Raw genomic sequence first — 15118 nt, forward strand, 5'->3', positions numbered from 1 at the left:
TCCCTATGCATTCCAAATCCCACCTACATGATATTCATAGTGCTAATCAGGTGTGAGAGCTGAGTCCAAATCTGATTTCTTTCTGCAGACAGAAAACCTTACGCAGGCAGGAGTGATGTCTCCTTTGTACCTTTTGAACTTAGAACGATGACTGTCGTGTAACAGCCACTTGGTGAGCAGTTATTAAACAAATGACTGAGTATCCCCTCAATATGAAAACTTGAAAAAATTTAGTAATCGTTTGATCGTCTCAGGGAATGACACGGTCTTCATTTTCTATGTCCAACACTACAGTTATGCAGGCGACTGAACTTCTATTGCAGAATATTTTCCACTGGAATGTAATTGTATTTATGGAAATTATAATGTATGTTCAGCAAAACAAACCTCGATTCCATTGTCCTACGTGGAATAAGTCTAGAGAACAATAGACTTTCTTAGTGGAATGCACCCTCCCATACATTGCTACAAAATCACAAAGAAAAGGAAAAAAGGGAAAGTGATTTTCCCAACAAAGCGTCTCTACATGTGGGTGGTCAATGATGTTTACCTAAAATGGATTTGTGGCTGAAGAGAAAATTCTGATTTCCCGAAAGGTGAATCTCACTGATGTTGATTACAGAAATAAGTTGTACTGCTTGATGTAAAGGGAGGAAAAAGTAACTTTTTAATTTATCTCTGCCCTATCCAAACAAGGGCCAGGAAAGATTACATGTTTTCCTGTGATTCAGTTCTACAGAGGCAAGAGACTCTATCAATATTGAAGTTGTAAATACCGGAACATTAGATTTGCTTTCTGCCCATGAAAAGCAGATTTTGTTGCTTTTCTCTTCTCTCTGCTGACAACATGCATAAACAGTGGCCCAAAATGTGATTATTCCCTGTGGATGCCCAGGTCCTTCCTGTTGCCTCCCCTCCGCAGTTTGGGGGAAGGGTTGTCAACCCCCGTGAGATGCCGCAACCCGGAAGCAGGTCCTTGTTAATATTTTCCTCATGAAACTTTGAGCATTTAGGCAAAACCAACACAATCGCTTTTTCCCTCCAGATAAATAATTAGATCTCTGAGGCTGCTTATTATCAGAAGCCCCTTATATAAGGAGCAGAGTGATGGTTCTTTCATCATGTCATGTGAGTGGCTGTGACACACACTGGGCACATGTGTGTCCTGACCTGGGCTCCAACAGCATCTGTGGCAGGTAACCCTAGGGTTCCAGAAATAGACTCTGCAGACAGGCAGAATAGGGTGTGGGAAGCATCTTCGTCTCTGCGGAGCCATAGTCTCCTGGTCTGCTAACATCCACCATATGACCCTCTTCGCTGTCTTTTTGTGGGGCCTCAGTGCCATCAGGCTGGGCTGTGAGGACCCTTTTTCTAATCACACAACTCTATACTCACTATTTTCAAACCAAATAATTGGCAAACGTGATTGGTAAAGGCTGAGACCACAGAGCACTCTCTTGAAGTGTAAGTTCACCTTCTCATAAGGAATTTAGTAATTCACAAGCAAAGGGAAGTCAGTAGACAATGGAGAAGCAACTATCAGCCTGTTTCCATGCATTTTTTTCTTTTTACTTTTCAGTCAAAGGGCTTTGTATTATGTGCTAGTATCATTCATACTTAAGCTTCATCATGGCTCAAAACTTTCATCTCTTTTACCTGTTAAAAGGAAACAGTATCCTTTGTAATTTAAGTGATGTAATTTATGTGGAATTGCTGAGCAATGTTGGGGGAATAGTGGGTGCTTAAGAAATAGCAAGGAAAGTTGAATCTGAACATTTATTAATCTAAATGTCCCTTCAGATTACAAGGTTCTGGAGGGCAGAGACATTTCTGGACATGATTTATCAGGAAAGGAAGATGATAGAGTTCTTTCATCACAGCTGTGTTCTAATGAGATTCTGGGTACTTTCTACACATTAACTTAGTTCACCCTCTGAACCACTCAGCAAGGGAGGTTTTCATACCCCCAATTAAGGAGAAAACAAAATCAGAAAAGTTTCAAACTTGACCAAAGCCATGGAGCTAAGGAAGGGGATATAGCTGGGCTTAGAATTCAAGTGTGTCTGTCTTCAAAGCCTGTGTCTTCCCCCAATAGGTTAATAAAGCAAACATAAGGTGGGACTCTTAGCTCAAAGTTGGGACCCAGTGGTAAAAAGACTAACGAATGAGTCATACCTCCAGGTTGGATCCTAGCTCCACCATTTACTCTCTCTGTGACTCAGTTCCTATCTATAAAATTGGGATGACATCACCATTACGCTGCATTGCCTGTCATGCGTCAGGCGCTGTTCTAAGTGCTTACGTGTTCTGACTCATTTACTCCTCACCAAAACTCTAGGAAGTACATAGTGTGATTATTCCCATTTTACACATAAGGAAGCTGAGTCACAATCGACATTAAAAGTAAGTGTCCTACAGGTAAAAAATAGAATGTGTCTGAGCTTGGTTTGAAATCCCCGTAATAGGTCTTGTAGTCTACATTCAACTGCACCATTGTTTTTAGTAGCTGCCCCCACAGGACTGGCGTCTGGCTAAAATAATATGATGCTTAAAACTTCTTAGAACAATATATTGCCCATAGAGTCATTTGATTAACATAAACAATTATTTAGTATTGTTGCTACTATCATGATTGCTATGTCTGGAATATCCAATCCCTATAAAGCTCAAAGTAACTTCAGCAATGCAAGTTCAAGATAGATGGGCCAGGAGGTGCTGACTCTGAGTAAGTGAAGAAAAAGCATGATCCACAATGCTGCCAGAATGCTTCTAGGGATCAGCGTAAAATTTTTCTGCATTTTAAAATACATTTTTGAAATTTAACGATTTCAAACAATTCCATAAAAAGAATGTGTATAATTTCATTTTCAACTCCTAGGCAGAAAAGAATAAGCGTAAAGCTGTGGTCTAAAAAAATAGAAATCTGGCTACTCAATTACAGATAATTGCAACAAAAAATAAAGTTGATCAGTGTTTAAAGAAACAAGAAATGGCTGGGCATGTTGGCTCAAGCCTGTAATCCCAGCACTTTTGGGGGCTGAAGTGGGTGAATCGCTTGAGCCCAGGAGTTTGAGAACAGCCTGGGCAATACGATTAAACCCCGTCTTTACAAAAACAAAATACAAAAATTAGCCAGGCATGGTGCTGCACACCTGTAGTCTCAACTACTCAGGAGGCTGAGGTGGGAGGATCACCTGAGCCCAGGAGGTCAAGGCTGCAGTGAGCCATGATCATGCCACTGCACTTTAGGCTAGGTGACAGAGTGAGGTCCTATCAGAAAGAAGAAAGAGGGAGAAAGAGAGAGCAAGGGAGAGAGAGACAGAGAGAGAGAGGGAGAGAGAGAGAGAGAGAGAAACAAGAAAGCTGCATAAGTAGCTCTCTAATAGGCTCAGATATTTATAATAGCTTTTTCCCTTAAAATGTGTCAAGTAAAACTATTCCTTACATGTGCTTAAAAAGTCAAAGAATATAAGAATTTATGATACAAATCATCAGTCTCCAGGCTCTACTCATACCCTAATCCTCTAAATAAATCACTTTTACTGCTTTTTATTGTTGAATTGTTAAAGTAATGGGATTATTATACTCTTATTTCTCACTTTACCAATATCAGATATTTATTGATTTCATACCACGATAAAACACAATTTAGGTCACTTACATTAGTTCCAATGTACTTACATTACATTACATATTACATTACATTGTTTTAAAACTCAATGATTTTAACTCAGTTAATTTTATTGGTTAATTTTATTTTACTATTTTAGCTTATCTATTGTTTCCCATTGTAATTTTTTAAAGTGGACTCTGTTTTTTTTTTAGAGAAGTTTTAGGTTCACAACAAATATGTGCAAAAAATACAGGGCGCTCCTTCATAGCCCCTGTCCCAACACATGCACTGTCTGCCCCACTATCAACATCCCCACAGAATGGTACATCCATTAACAACCAATGAACCTGAATGACATATCATTATCACCCAAAGTTCATAGGAGTGAACATTAGGGTTCCTTCTTTGTGTTGTAAATTCAATGAATTTTGACAAATGTATAAAGAATGACATTGACCCACCATTACAGTGTTATACATAATAGTTTCACTGTCCTAAAAATCCTCTGCTTGGCCGGGTGTGGTTGCTCACCACCTGTAATCACAGCACTTTGGGAGACTGAGGTGGGTGGATCACAAGGTCAGGTGTTCGAGACCAGCCTGGCCAACATGGTGAAACCCGGTCTCTATTAAAAATACAAAAATTAGCCGGGCATGGTGGCACATGCCTGTAATCTCAACTACTCAGGAGGCTGAGGCAGGAGAATCGCTTGAACCAGGGAGGCGGAAGTTGCAGTGAGCTGGGATCACACCACTGCACTCCAGCATGGGCAACAGACCAAGACTCCGTCTAAAAAAAAAAAAAAAAAAAGAAAAAATCCTTGACTCTGCCTAGTCATCCTTCTCTTTCTCTAACTCCTGATGGCAACCAATCTTTTTATTATTTATGTAGTTTTGCCTTTTCCAGAATGTCATATAGTTAGAATTATACAGTACATATTGTCTCAAATTGGCTTTTTAAGTAAAATGCACTTAAATCCTTAATGTCTTTGCAAAGTTTCATCTCTCATTTCTTTTCAGTACTGAGTCATATTCCATTGCCTGGATATACTACAATTTAGTTACTTGTTTGCCTTTTTCTATTGAAAGACATCTGGGTTGTTTCCAACTTATAAATAAAGCTACTAAAAATATTCATGTGTACATTTTTGTGTGGCTTTTAGTTTTCAACTCATTTGGGTAAATATCTAAGAATACAACTGTTGGATATTATTAATATGTTAGGAGTATGTTTTGTTTTGTCAGAAACTGCCAAACTGTCTTCCAAAGTGGTTGCACTTCTTTGCAATTCTATCAGCAATGAATGAGAGTTCCTGTTGCTTCACATCCTCACCAGCATTCAGTGTTGTTAGTGTGTTATGGATTTTGGCCATTTTAATAGGTGTGCTATGGTATCTCCTTGTTGTTTTAATATGCGTTTTCCCGATGACATAACATGCGAAAAATCTTTTCATATGCTTATTTGCTATTTGAATTTTTTTTGGATAAAGTACCTCTTTAGGTCTTTTGCCTGTCTTCTAATGTGGTTGTTCATTTTCTGATTGTTGACTTTTAAGAGCTCTTTGGATATTTTGGACAATATATTTTATCAGATAAGTATTTTCTAAATATTTTCTTCTAATCTATGGCTTGTCTTCTCATTATGTTGATAATATCTTTTGCAGATAACAAGTTTTTAATGTAATAAAGATCAACGTATCAGTTATTCTTTTTATGGATTATGCCTTTGATGTTGTATCTGTAGAGTCATCTTCAAACTGGAGGTAATCCACATTTTCTCCTATGTTTTCCTCTAGTAGTTCCACAATTTCATGTTTTATATTTAGATAAATATTTTAGGTGCATTTTGAGTTGATTTTTGTGAAGAGTGCAAGAACTATGTCTCATATATATGTACATATTTTTGGCAAATAGATGTTCAGTTTTTCCAGGACCATGTGTTGAAAAACTATCTCCTCTCCATTGCATTTCCTTTGCTTCGCTGTTATAGATCAGTTGACTATAATTGTACAGGTCTAGTTTTGGGCTTTCTATTCTGTTTCATCAATCTATTTGTCTATTCTTCCACTAATACCACACTGGTTTGATTACTGTATCATTACAGCCTGTCTTGAAGTTAGGTAATGTCAGTCTTGCAAATTTATTTTTCTTCAATACTGTGTTTACTCTACTGTGTCTTTTGCCTCACTATATACACTTCAGAATCAGTTTGTCAACATTCACAAAATAACTTGCTGTTTTTTTTTGAGGTGGAGTTTTGCTCTTGTTGCCAGCGCTAGAGTGCAATGGCGCGATCTTGGCTCACTGCAACATCTGCCTCCCGGGTTCAAGTGATTCTCCTGCCTCAGCCTCCTGACTAGCTGGGATTACAGGCACACACCACCATGCCCAGCTAATTTTTTGTATTTTTCGTAGAAACGGGGTTTCACCATATTGGTCAGGCTCGTCTTGAAATCTGGTCAGGCAGACCTCAGGTGATCTGCCCACCTCGGCCTCCCAAAGTGCTGGGATTACAGGCGTGAGCCACTGTCCCCAACCAACTTGCTGAGATTTTTATAGATATTTTTTAAAAGTATAGATCAAGTTGTGAAAAATTGACATCTTGACAATATTGAGTCTTCTTACCTACGAACATGAACTCTCTCTCCATTTATTCAGTTATTTGATTTCTTTCATTAGATTTTATATATTTTTCTCATAGATCTTGTACATATTTTGTTAGCTATCTAAGTATTTCATTTGGGAAGTGCTAATGTAAATGTTATTATGCTTTAAATTTCAAATTTCAACTGTTCATTGCTGGCATATAGGGAAGTAATTGATTTTTGTAAATTAACTTGATATCCTACAACTTTGCTGTAATTACTTATTAATTCTAGGAGTACCAGTGTCATTTTAATGAAATATTTATCATGTATTTCTATTTTATAAATTTAGCAGTGCTTTCCTGTCATCTTCCCCCATCTACCCCTACTCTTGCCTCCACTTTTCTGTTGTTTGTAATATCCCTATAATTTTATCAGGTGGATCCCACTGGCTTTCTGTTCTTCCACCTCACATATCTCTTTCTTGCTTTTTTTTTTTTTTGGTTGACTTTACAAGTTAAAACCAATACATATACTTATATACTTACTTTGTTATAAAACATCTCCTTACATATATTCTTCAGGCTCTCTGATTTCCTCCTAGACTCAGTTGGACATGCTATAGAGTTACCATCTTGATTTGTATTTTTGTACAATGGTACCCTGGAGCGGATCCTTTTTCTCTTCTACATTTTCTCTTTTTTTTTTCTCCATGATTCACTTATTTGGTTACAGTGTGTTTTCCAGAAACTTTCTGAGATGGGGGATTTGGGAGGTAAAATTTTGTGCCTTTGAAAGTAAAAAAAAAATAAATAAACCAAAGGTAAAAAAGCATTATTATATCTTCACACTTGAGTTATTTCTACAAAACACTTGGAAGACCTTGTTTCCCGGTTCTCTGTCATTTCTATTCATGGTTGTCAAATTTTATTTTTTGATAGGTAATACATTTCATATTTTCCTTTTGTAATAATTTGATTTTTCTCTTTATCATCGAAGTTGTGAAATATACAATAAAGATAAGTGGATTTCAGATGATTGAATTTTCCTATCCAAAAAATATTGGTTAAAGAAATAATACTAACGCAGGAAGACAACCATCTATTTTGTTCCATCCAACTGCATCCCCCTTGTTCCCTTGTTGGAGGACTTGATTAAAGACATATAAACATGAAAATCAAATTTTAGACATCAAAAAGGGACACTATGAATGATAACATCATGATATACAGTGTCTAGACAGATTTTAATACACTGAGTTATCTCTAATAAGTAGCAATGTGAACACAAACAGGTAGACCATCTGCGAGAGTTGCAAAATGATTGCATATATGCATTTCACATTTTCCCAAATCTTACACACTTTGTAATCTCTAGGGTCATGATCTCCAATTCAAAAGCCTATGAAAATATTCACATATGGCCAGGGAGTGCCCTTTCCCTCTCTGCTGATGGGCCCCTGAACTGCTTTCACACTTTCTCTTTTCTCTCGGATATTGCCTTTTTCTGTCTTTCACTATCAGTTGACTCCCATCCCACCCACCTGAGGAGAGGCCAGGAGATCTCACTTTTTCTCCTCTCCTTTCTTTCTTCTACAAATATATTTGAATGCTACACACTATAGATGCAGAGTAAGCACAAGCCATGTCTTCACAGAGGTTAGAGTTGAACTAGAAATAGAAGCATGAGACACAATGTTATTGGGAAGTACAGGACACTAAGGGGCAGAGAACAGGGTGGCTTAATGCATGCCTGGTGGGGTGGAGGCTAATCCAAGATTTCTCTGAGTCAATGATCTTGAATGGAGACAAGACAAACACATTGGGTTTACTTACCTCTTGGATAGTTTCTCTGCAGTTTTTCTTCCTGTTTAATCTTGGAACTTCAAAGCTAGCATTTTACTGTGACAAATCTGAATTCTTAGAAGAGACTTTGCTGAAACAAAGTATCAGAGACTGGATGGCTTATAAACAACAGACATTTATGTCTCACAATTTGGAAATTAGAAGTCTGAGGTCAGAGTGCCAGCAGGATTGGGTTCTGGTTGAGGGAGCTCCTCCAGGTTGCAGACAGCCAGCTTCTCACTGTATCTTCACATGGCAGAAGAGAGCTCTCTGCATTCTGTTTCATAAGGGCATTTATCCTACTCATTAGGGCTTCAACCTCAAGTCCTAATTCTCTACCAAAAGCCCCACCTTCTCATACTTCACAGTGGAGGTTGAGATTTCAATATACGGATTTTAGAGACATGAAAATATTCAGTCCATTGCATTCTGCCCCTGGGTCCCCCAACTTCATATTCCTCTCATAGGTAAAATACTTTTATTCCATCCTAATAGCCCTAAAATTCTTAATTCGTTCTCTTATCAACTCAAAGTCTGAAGTCCAGTCTCATCAAAATATTGTCTAAAAAAGATATGGGTGAGACTCCAGGTACAATTTATCCTGAGGTAAAATTTATCTCCATCTGTGAACCAGTGAAATTAAACAAGTTATGTGCTTGCAAAATACGATGGTAAACAGGTGTAGACAGACATTTTCATTCCAAAAGGGAAAAATAGAAAAAAAAAAAAAGTGGTGGGTTTCAAAGAAATCTAAAACCTAGTAAGTAAAGCTCCATGAAATCTTTTTTTAAAAACTTATTTTAAAATAAATTTTATTGTGTGTATTTAAGGTATACAACATGATGTTATAGAATACACATGGATAGTAAAAAGGTTACTATAGTGAAACAAGTTAATATATCCATCATCTCACCATTACCATTTTCTTTTGTTTTAGTGGCAAAAGCAGTTAAAATCTACTAATTTAGCATGAATTCGCAAAAAAGCACAATTTTATTACCTGTAGTCCTTATGTTGTACATTAGATATCTACATATGTTCATCTTACACATCTGCTACTTTGTATCTTCTGATCTACATCTCTCCATTTCCTCCCCATCATCCCCTCCCACCCCCACTCCTGGTAACCACTGTTTTGTTCTCCGTCTCTGTATCTTTGATTTTTTTTTTTTTAGATTTCACATATAAGTGAGATCATGCATTCTTCTTCTGTTTTTTTTTTTTTCCAATGTCTGTCTTATTTCATTTAGAATAATGTCCTCCAGGCTGATGTATGTTGGGGAAAATGGCAAGATCTCATTTCTGTTATTTATTTGTTTTTAAGGCTGAATAGTATTCCATTTTATATGTGCACACACACATATAAATGTGTGTGTATATATATAGTTTCTTTATCCATTCATCTGTTGACAAACACTTAGGTTGTTTCCATAGCTTGGCTATTGTTAATAAAGCTACAATAAACATGGGAGTGCAGGTCTCTTTACCTTTGGAAGGTGATCATTTTGTAACATTTTGCTTTATGCCTCGAAGAGTAGTAGCTGGATCATATGGCAGTTCGATTTTTAATTTCATTAGAAACCTCCATACTGTTTTCCATAATGGCTAAACTTATCTACACTTTCACCAACAGTCTACAAGAATTTGTTTCCTTTTCTCTTACACTTTTTCCAACATTTGTTATCTTTTGAAATCTTGATAACAGTCAATAATCCTAACGCACATGAAGTTGTATCTCATAGTGGCTTTTATTTACATTTCCCTGATGATTAATGATGTTTAGCACTTCTTAATTTATCTATTGTTCATTTTTATACCTTCTTTAGAGAAATGTCTATTTAGGTCTTTTGCCCATTTTTTTTTTAAAATTGGGTTATTTGGCTTTCTATTATTGAGTTGTATGATATTAACCTCTTATCAGATATATGGTTTGCAAATATTATTTTTTGACATGTAGTTTGCCATTTCATTTTTTTTTTCTGTGCAGAAGCTTTTAGTCTGTTATAGTCTCATTTATTTATTTTTGCTTTTACGGCCTGAGCTTTTGGTGTGATATCCAAAAAATCATTGCCAAGGCCAATGTCTAGGAGCTTTCCCTTTATGTTCTATTCTAGAAATTTTATAGTTTCTGATCTTACTTTTGGGCCTTTCATCCATGGTGTAAACTAAGGGTCTAATTTTATTCTTTTGAATATGAAAATACAGTTTTTCCCAGCACAATTTATTGAAGAGACTATTATTTTCTCATTATGTCCTCTTGGTGCCTTTGTCAAAAATTAGTTGACTATATATGTTCGGGTGTATTTCTGGGCTCTGTATTCTATTCCTTTGGTCTATGGGTTTGTTTCTATGCCAGTACCATACTTTTTTGTTTAGTATAGCTTTGTAATATAATTTTAAATCAACAAGTAAAATGTTTTCAACTTTTTTTTCCCTCAGAGCTGAAACCTAATATTTCTGGAGGCTGGAAGTCTGAGATCCACATGCTCCCAAAGGACCCACTTCCTAAAATCATTACTTTGGAGTCTAGGATCTCAACATATGAACTTTGGGGGATGGGGACAGAAACATTCGGTCCATTGCAGAGGAAGAGCCTGTGTTAATATGAAAGAGTCAGAAAAACTTCTTTGAAAAGCCAATCCTTTGCTTTCTGAGGGTGAGTGAAGATTAAGCAGAAGGAGCAGTTTAAGGCAGCAGGAAATGCTAGGGTGAAGACTCTTGAAGGAAAAAATGAAGGCCAGTCAGTGTGGCTGGAGTGAAAAAATCCAGGAAGATACTGCACAAGTTGACGCTAGTGAGGAGGCATGGCCATGGTGAGGGTTTTGGCCTTTATTGTAAGGATGAAGGGAAGACACTGAGAGGTTTAAGAAGGGGCAGAATGGAACAGACAACAGGACTGTCAGGGAACATCCATTTTAACAATATCACCTTGCTGCCATGTGGAGAATTGATTGAAAGAGGGCCACGGTGTGTGGGAGACTCACTGCGAGCACCTCACATTAATCCAGACATGATGGCAGCTTGAACTAGGATATTAGCTGAAGAAAGGGAGAAAAATAGATGACTTGAGTGATGTAGAGATATAAAGGCCATAGGAGCTGGTGATTGATTTCATATGAGCAGTGTGGCATCACAGGCATCTTCCAGGTTTATGGCTGGAGCTCTGGATGGACTGTGGTGCTGTTGAAGCCAGAACCAGACCACGTTTGTGGGAAAGACAATAAATCGAGCCAATTAGGATGGGGAGGGGTGTTCAATAGTGCAGAGACAAACCTTGATTGAGGAAAATATGAGAAGGCTACATTTAGGAGGCAGGATTTGAACCAGGCCTTCAATACATCCAGAAATCAGAGCCAGGCATAGTGGGGAAATTGCAGGGGAAGTGAGGTTCCCAACAGAGGGAGCACCCAGAGCCTTATGGGGGATCTTGGCATTTTTATTCCATTTTTGTTTTAAGTAAACTTTGCATTGAAGTTCAGCATACCTATAGAAAAGTGCACAATTTATAAAAATACAAATCTATAAAAATTTAAGAAAACATATCATCCAGTTTCTTTGGGAAGGGGTTCATTTTTTTCCCCTAATTTTCTATTTTAACTGCATCTAGTTTTCTGATTGAAAGTGACATTGAATTCCTGGAAGTAAGCTGGGAAGAAAAACTCATTCTATGAGTGAATACACTTGGCAAGAAGTAGTGGGGCTGTAATTGTGATAGTAACAGTGTTACTAGAAAACATCGGTGACTGCTATTGTTATGTGTTATGCTGACTATAATTTGTACTGCATTAGAGGAACGTAATCAGAGAAGACTTGGAGATATCAAGTCTTGGAGTATTACTGATAAATAAATAGAAGTAATTCTAGACTGTACAAGAAAGAGTTCAGTTTTAGAAATTTTAAGTTTCGAGTGTTTACTCAAAACTCATACAGAAGTGGAAATGTCTGGAAGAACAAAAGGACAGAAGAATGCATGGGTGAAAAATCAAAGGAGGGATCTTGGCTCCAGGAGACATGTGTGAGTTCTGCTGTGGGGCTACATTTAATCATGTCAGAGTTGAGGTTCTTGCTTTAGGAGCAGTTACTTAGAATGAGATGTCCGGGATTTGTCTTTTTCTTTTATTTTACCCAGAAAGAAATGGAAGTAACTAGAGTGTCTGTTATACTGTTGCAAATGCGGTTCTGGAGCAACAAAGATTGATCAAAGCTGGAAGCAGGGCTTTGGGTATTGTCTGTTTTCAGAGAGTAATTGAAGCCACAGGTCGGACAAAATGGTCTGGGGAATGGACAGGGAGCAAGGTGACCCCAGTGTGTTGGAGGGTGCCAGAGCTCAGGGCAGGAGTCCCAGCTGTGCATGGTGGTGGCAGCTGCCCCGCTTGCCAAGCCCAGGTGGATGAGGTGGGCAGTGGGTGGGGGGCACTCATGCACCATCCACAGAGAGGGTTAGAAGCTAGAGTACTTTGCAGATGTCAACAGTCGATTGCAGACAATTAGGAGGCTGCCTTTTTTCTCCTTCTCCCAGGACCCCTAAGACAAACTGTCTGAACCATAACAGTTGAGTCTGAGGATATCAAATAAGTAAGGCAAAGAGAGACCCCGTGGAATAATTGTGGTTAGTGGCTTGCGGGGCTGCGGATGGGCTGTGGGGGGCGGGTTGCTCAAGAGAAAGAAACTTGCTTTTAATCAATGTGCTAATCCAGGACATAAGGTCTCCTTTCTCTCCCTCCCTTGTTTCATTTCCCAGGGCTCAGTCCCCATTCCCACCCCCTGCTCCCTCCCCATACTGGTTGAATGGAAATTTGGTCCAGTTTTTTTTTTTTTTTAATATAGATACATTAAAAAACAGACACTGATCTTCAAAGAAGGCTGCAATTTCACTGGCGACGGAATGTTTATAGCCACAATTTGTTTGGTTCTGATAAAATGCACATGCCCCGTTATTCCATTTTATTTTGCATCCCAAGCCAGGCTTGCTTCTTACATTGGCCTGTGCCTCTCCTAGTCAGCAAGACAGAGGGAGACAGAGAGACGGAGAGAGACAGAGAGACCTTCCTCGAGCTGTGGCTACATCTGCCTGTGGGTGTCCTGGACTCCATGGGCCCAGAGGTCATTGAATGTGGCGGAAGGAGACACAGTCCAGGAGTGAGGATGACCAGCCAGAGGGAATTTCAGGCACTCCCAGAGATACGTTATGCCCCATCAAGAGAAACACCAGCCTTCCCAGGTCTCGCTGAAGCTAGAAAATAATGCCCCCAGTTCTTCTTGGGAGATGGTGCAAGGGAGGTGAAAGAGTCTTGAAACTAAAAAATGTGGACTTAAATCTTAGCTTAGTCACTTTCCTGCGGTATGATTTGAACACAATTTTCTCCGAATTGGCTTCCCCGTTTGAAAACCAACAGCGTCTGCCCTACAGAACTGGTGTGAGAGTAAACAGATTAGGACCAGGTCAGCAGGACGGAGCATGCCCAGAAGAGAGTAGAAAGTGCAGTTTTGCCAAGGAGAGGGAATTGAGAGGAGTATTCTAGCCGGGAGGGCGGTGGGCACCCCAGCACACAGGCATGAGGAAACAGCATTGCTTGGGGGAGAAGTCTGAAGTGACTGGGTGTTTAGTTCAGAGATAGAGCAACAGGAAATGAAGCTGGCAGAACAAGAGGTCAGGTTGTGAGCCACTCTGAGGAGTTTAAGTTTCCTTTTGCCGGCCGTGGGAGAGCTTTAGGATTCTAAGTAGAGAACGATGTATGTTTAGATTGTGCCCTGGAAAAAAAAATGACCATTTGCAGCAGGATGGATCCACTGCAATGGTGGGAAGAAGAAAAGAAGTTAGAAAGCATAAGGGCAGGTAATGCTTCTCAGTACTGTGCATGCATTACTGAATTCACTGCGGCAGCAAAGGACACTGCCTGCAATGGTCAAGAGTTAGGACTCTGGGTTCTGATCTCAGCTCTGTCATGGACCAACTGTGGAATCTGGAACAAGGCAGTTACACTCGCTGTGCCTCAGTGACCCTATTTATAAAATGTGGATGGCAATAATGTTTATTGCCAATATAGATACTGTGAGGATTACATGAACTATTATTTTTTTTTTTTGAGACGGAATCTTGCTCTGTTGTCCAGGCTGGAGTGCACTGGTGCGATCTTGACTCACTGCAACCCCGCCTCCTGGGTTCAAGCGATTCTCCTGCCTCAACCTCCTGAGTAGCTGGGATTACAGGCGCCCACCACGACGCCCAGCTAATTTTTGTATTTTTAGTAGAGACGAGGTTTCCCCATGTTGGCCAGGCTGGTCTTGAACCCCTGACCTGCCCACCTCGGCCTCCTGAAGTGCTGGGATTACAGGCGTAAGCCACTGCACCTGGCCGACATGAATTTTAAATACAAAAGAAAACCACTGCAAAACACTTAAAGAGTGTGCATGGCAAATACAATACATGCACTCAATAAATGCTGCATATTATTTCCAGCTAAAATGTCAGAGCACTATGTGCTCTAACTAAGCAGTTTATGTATGTCATTCCATTTAATCTTTACATTTTCCCTGGAAAACAATTGCTACTTCTATATCTTTTTCTTTGCCTGATGAAAATTAAAGTTCAGAGAAATTGAATTCTTGCCCAGCATGATTAGATGCTACCTGGAGGAGCTGGGAAATAAAGCCAGATTTCTTCCAAAACCCATGGGCTTCAACATTGCCCGTTGAAAGAGGAAGAACAGGAATGAAAATCTCCAGTTCTTCAATCTTGAGTTGCAGGCAGTATATAAAAAAGCCAGTGGAGATATTGCTGATGGAAAGGCTTAACTTTATGCTTTTGGTAAGTGTTCCCTCCAGCCCCACTGCTTTCCATCAGCGTGTGTGTGTGTGTATGCATGTGTGTGTGTGTGTTGTGTGTGTGTGTGTGTGTGTGTGATTGGTCAGGCTGACTCTAGCCAGTGCTAATAATTCTCTGAGGAACTCTAAATGACACATTGCTGTTGATCAGATCAATCAGTCAAAGGGCACATTCTACATTTTTACTTTCACTGAAGTTTTCCTTTTTTCTTTCTTCCTTCATCAATTGAAATCTGATGAAGACAAACTCTT

The 15118-nt window shown here is 39.0% G+C and overlaps 1 long non-coding RNA gene across 2 annotated transcripts in view, besides 1 other annotated feature; it reads left to right on the forward strand.

Moving 5' to 3' along the window:
* LOC105370651 (uncharacterized) overlaps nt 1–15118 on the forward strand; it is a 91436-nt gene that overhangs the window by 4840 nt on the left and 71478 nt on the right. Inside the window, exons 3-4 of one of the 2 annotated variants that reach the window (XR_944185.3) lie at nt 5277–5375; nt 10481–14136. The exons of the other annotated variant lie outside the window; for it this stretch is intronic. This is a non-coding gene — a long non-coding RNA (uncharacterized LOC105370651). Of the gene's footprint in view, nt 1–5276; nt 5376–10480; nt 14137–15118 lie in introns of those variants that run through there. 2 annotated transcript variants of the gene reach the window in all.
* Nucleotides 1348–2547: an enhancer, noted in NCBI's record as "P300/CBP strongly-dependent group 1 enhancer chr14:98178659-98179858 (GRCh37/hg19 assembly coordinates)". NCBI's record gives its function as "activates an origin of replication core promoter dependent on BRD2, BRD4, P300/CBP, MED14 and CDK7 cofactors, with strong dependence on P300/CBP, by STARR-seq in HCT116 cells {active_cell/tissue: HCT116}" and the evidence as "EXISTENCE:reporter gene assay evidence [ECO:0000049][PMID:35650434]".

Source organism: Homo sapiens, chromosome 14, assembly GCF_000001405.40.
Source record: "Homo sapiens chromosome 14, GRCh38.p14 Primary Assembly".
NCBI classification, from domain to species: Eukaryota; Metazoa; Chordata; class Mammalia; order Primates; family Hominidae; genus Homo; species Homo sapiens.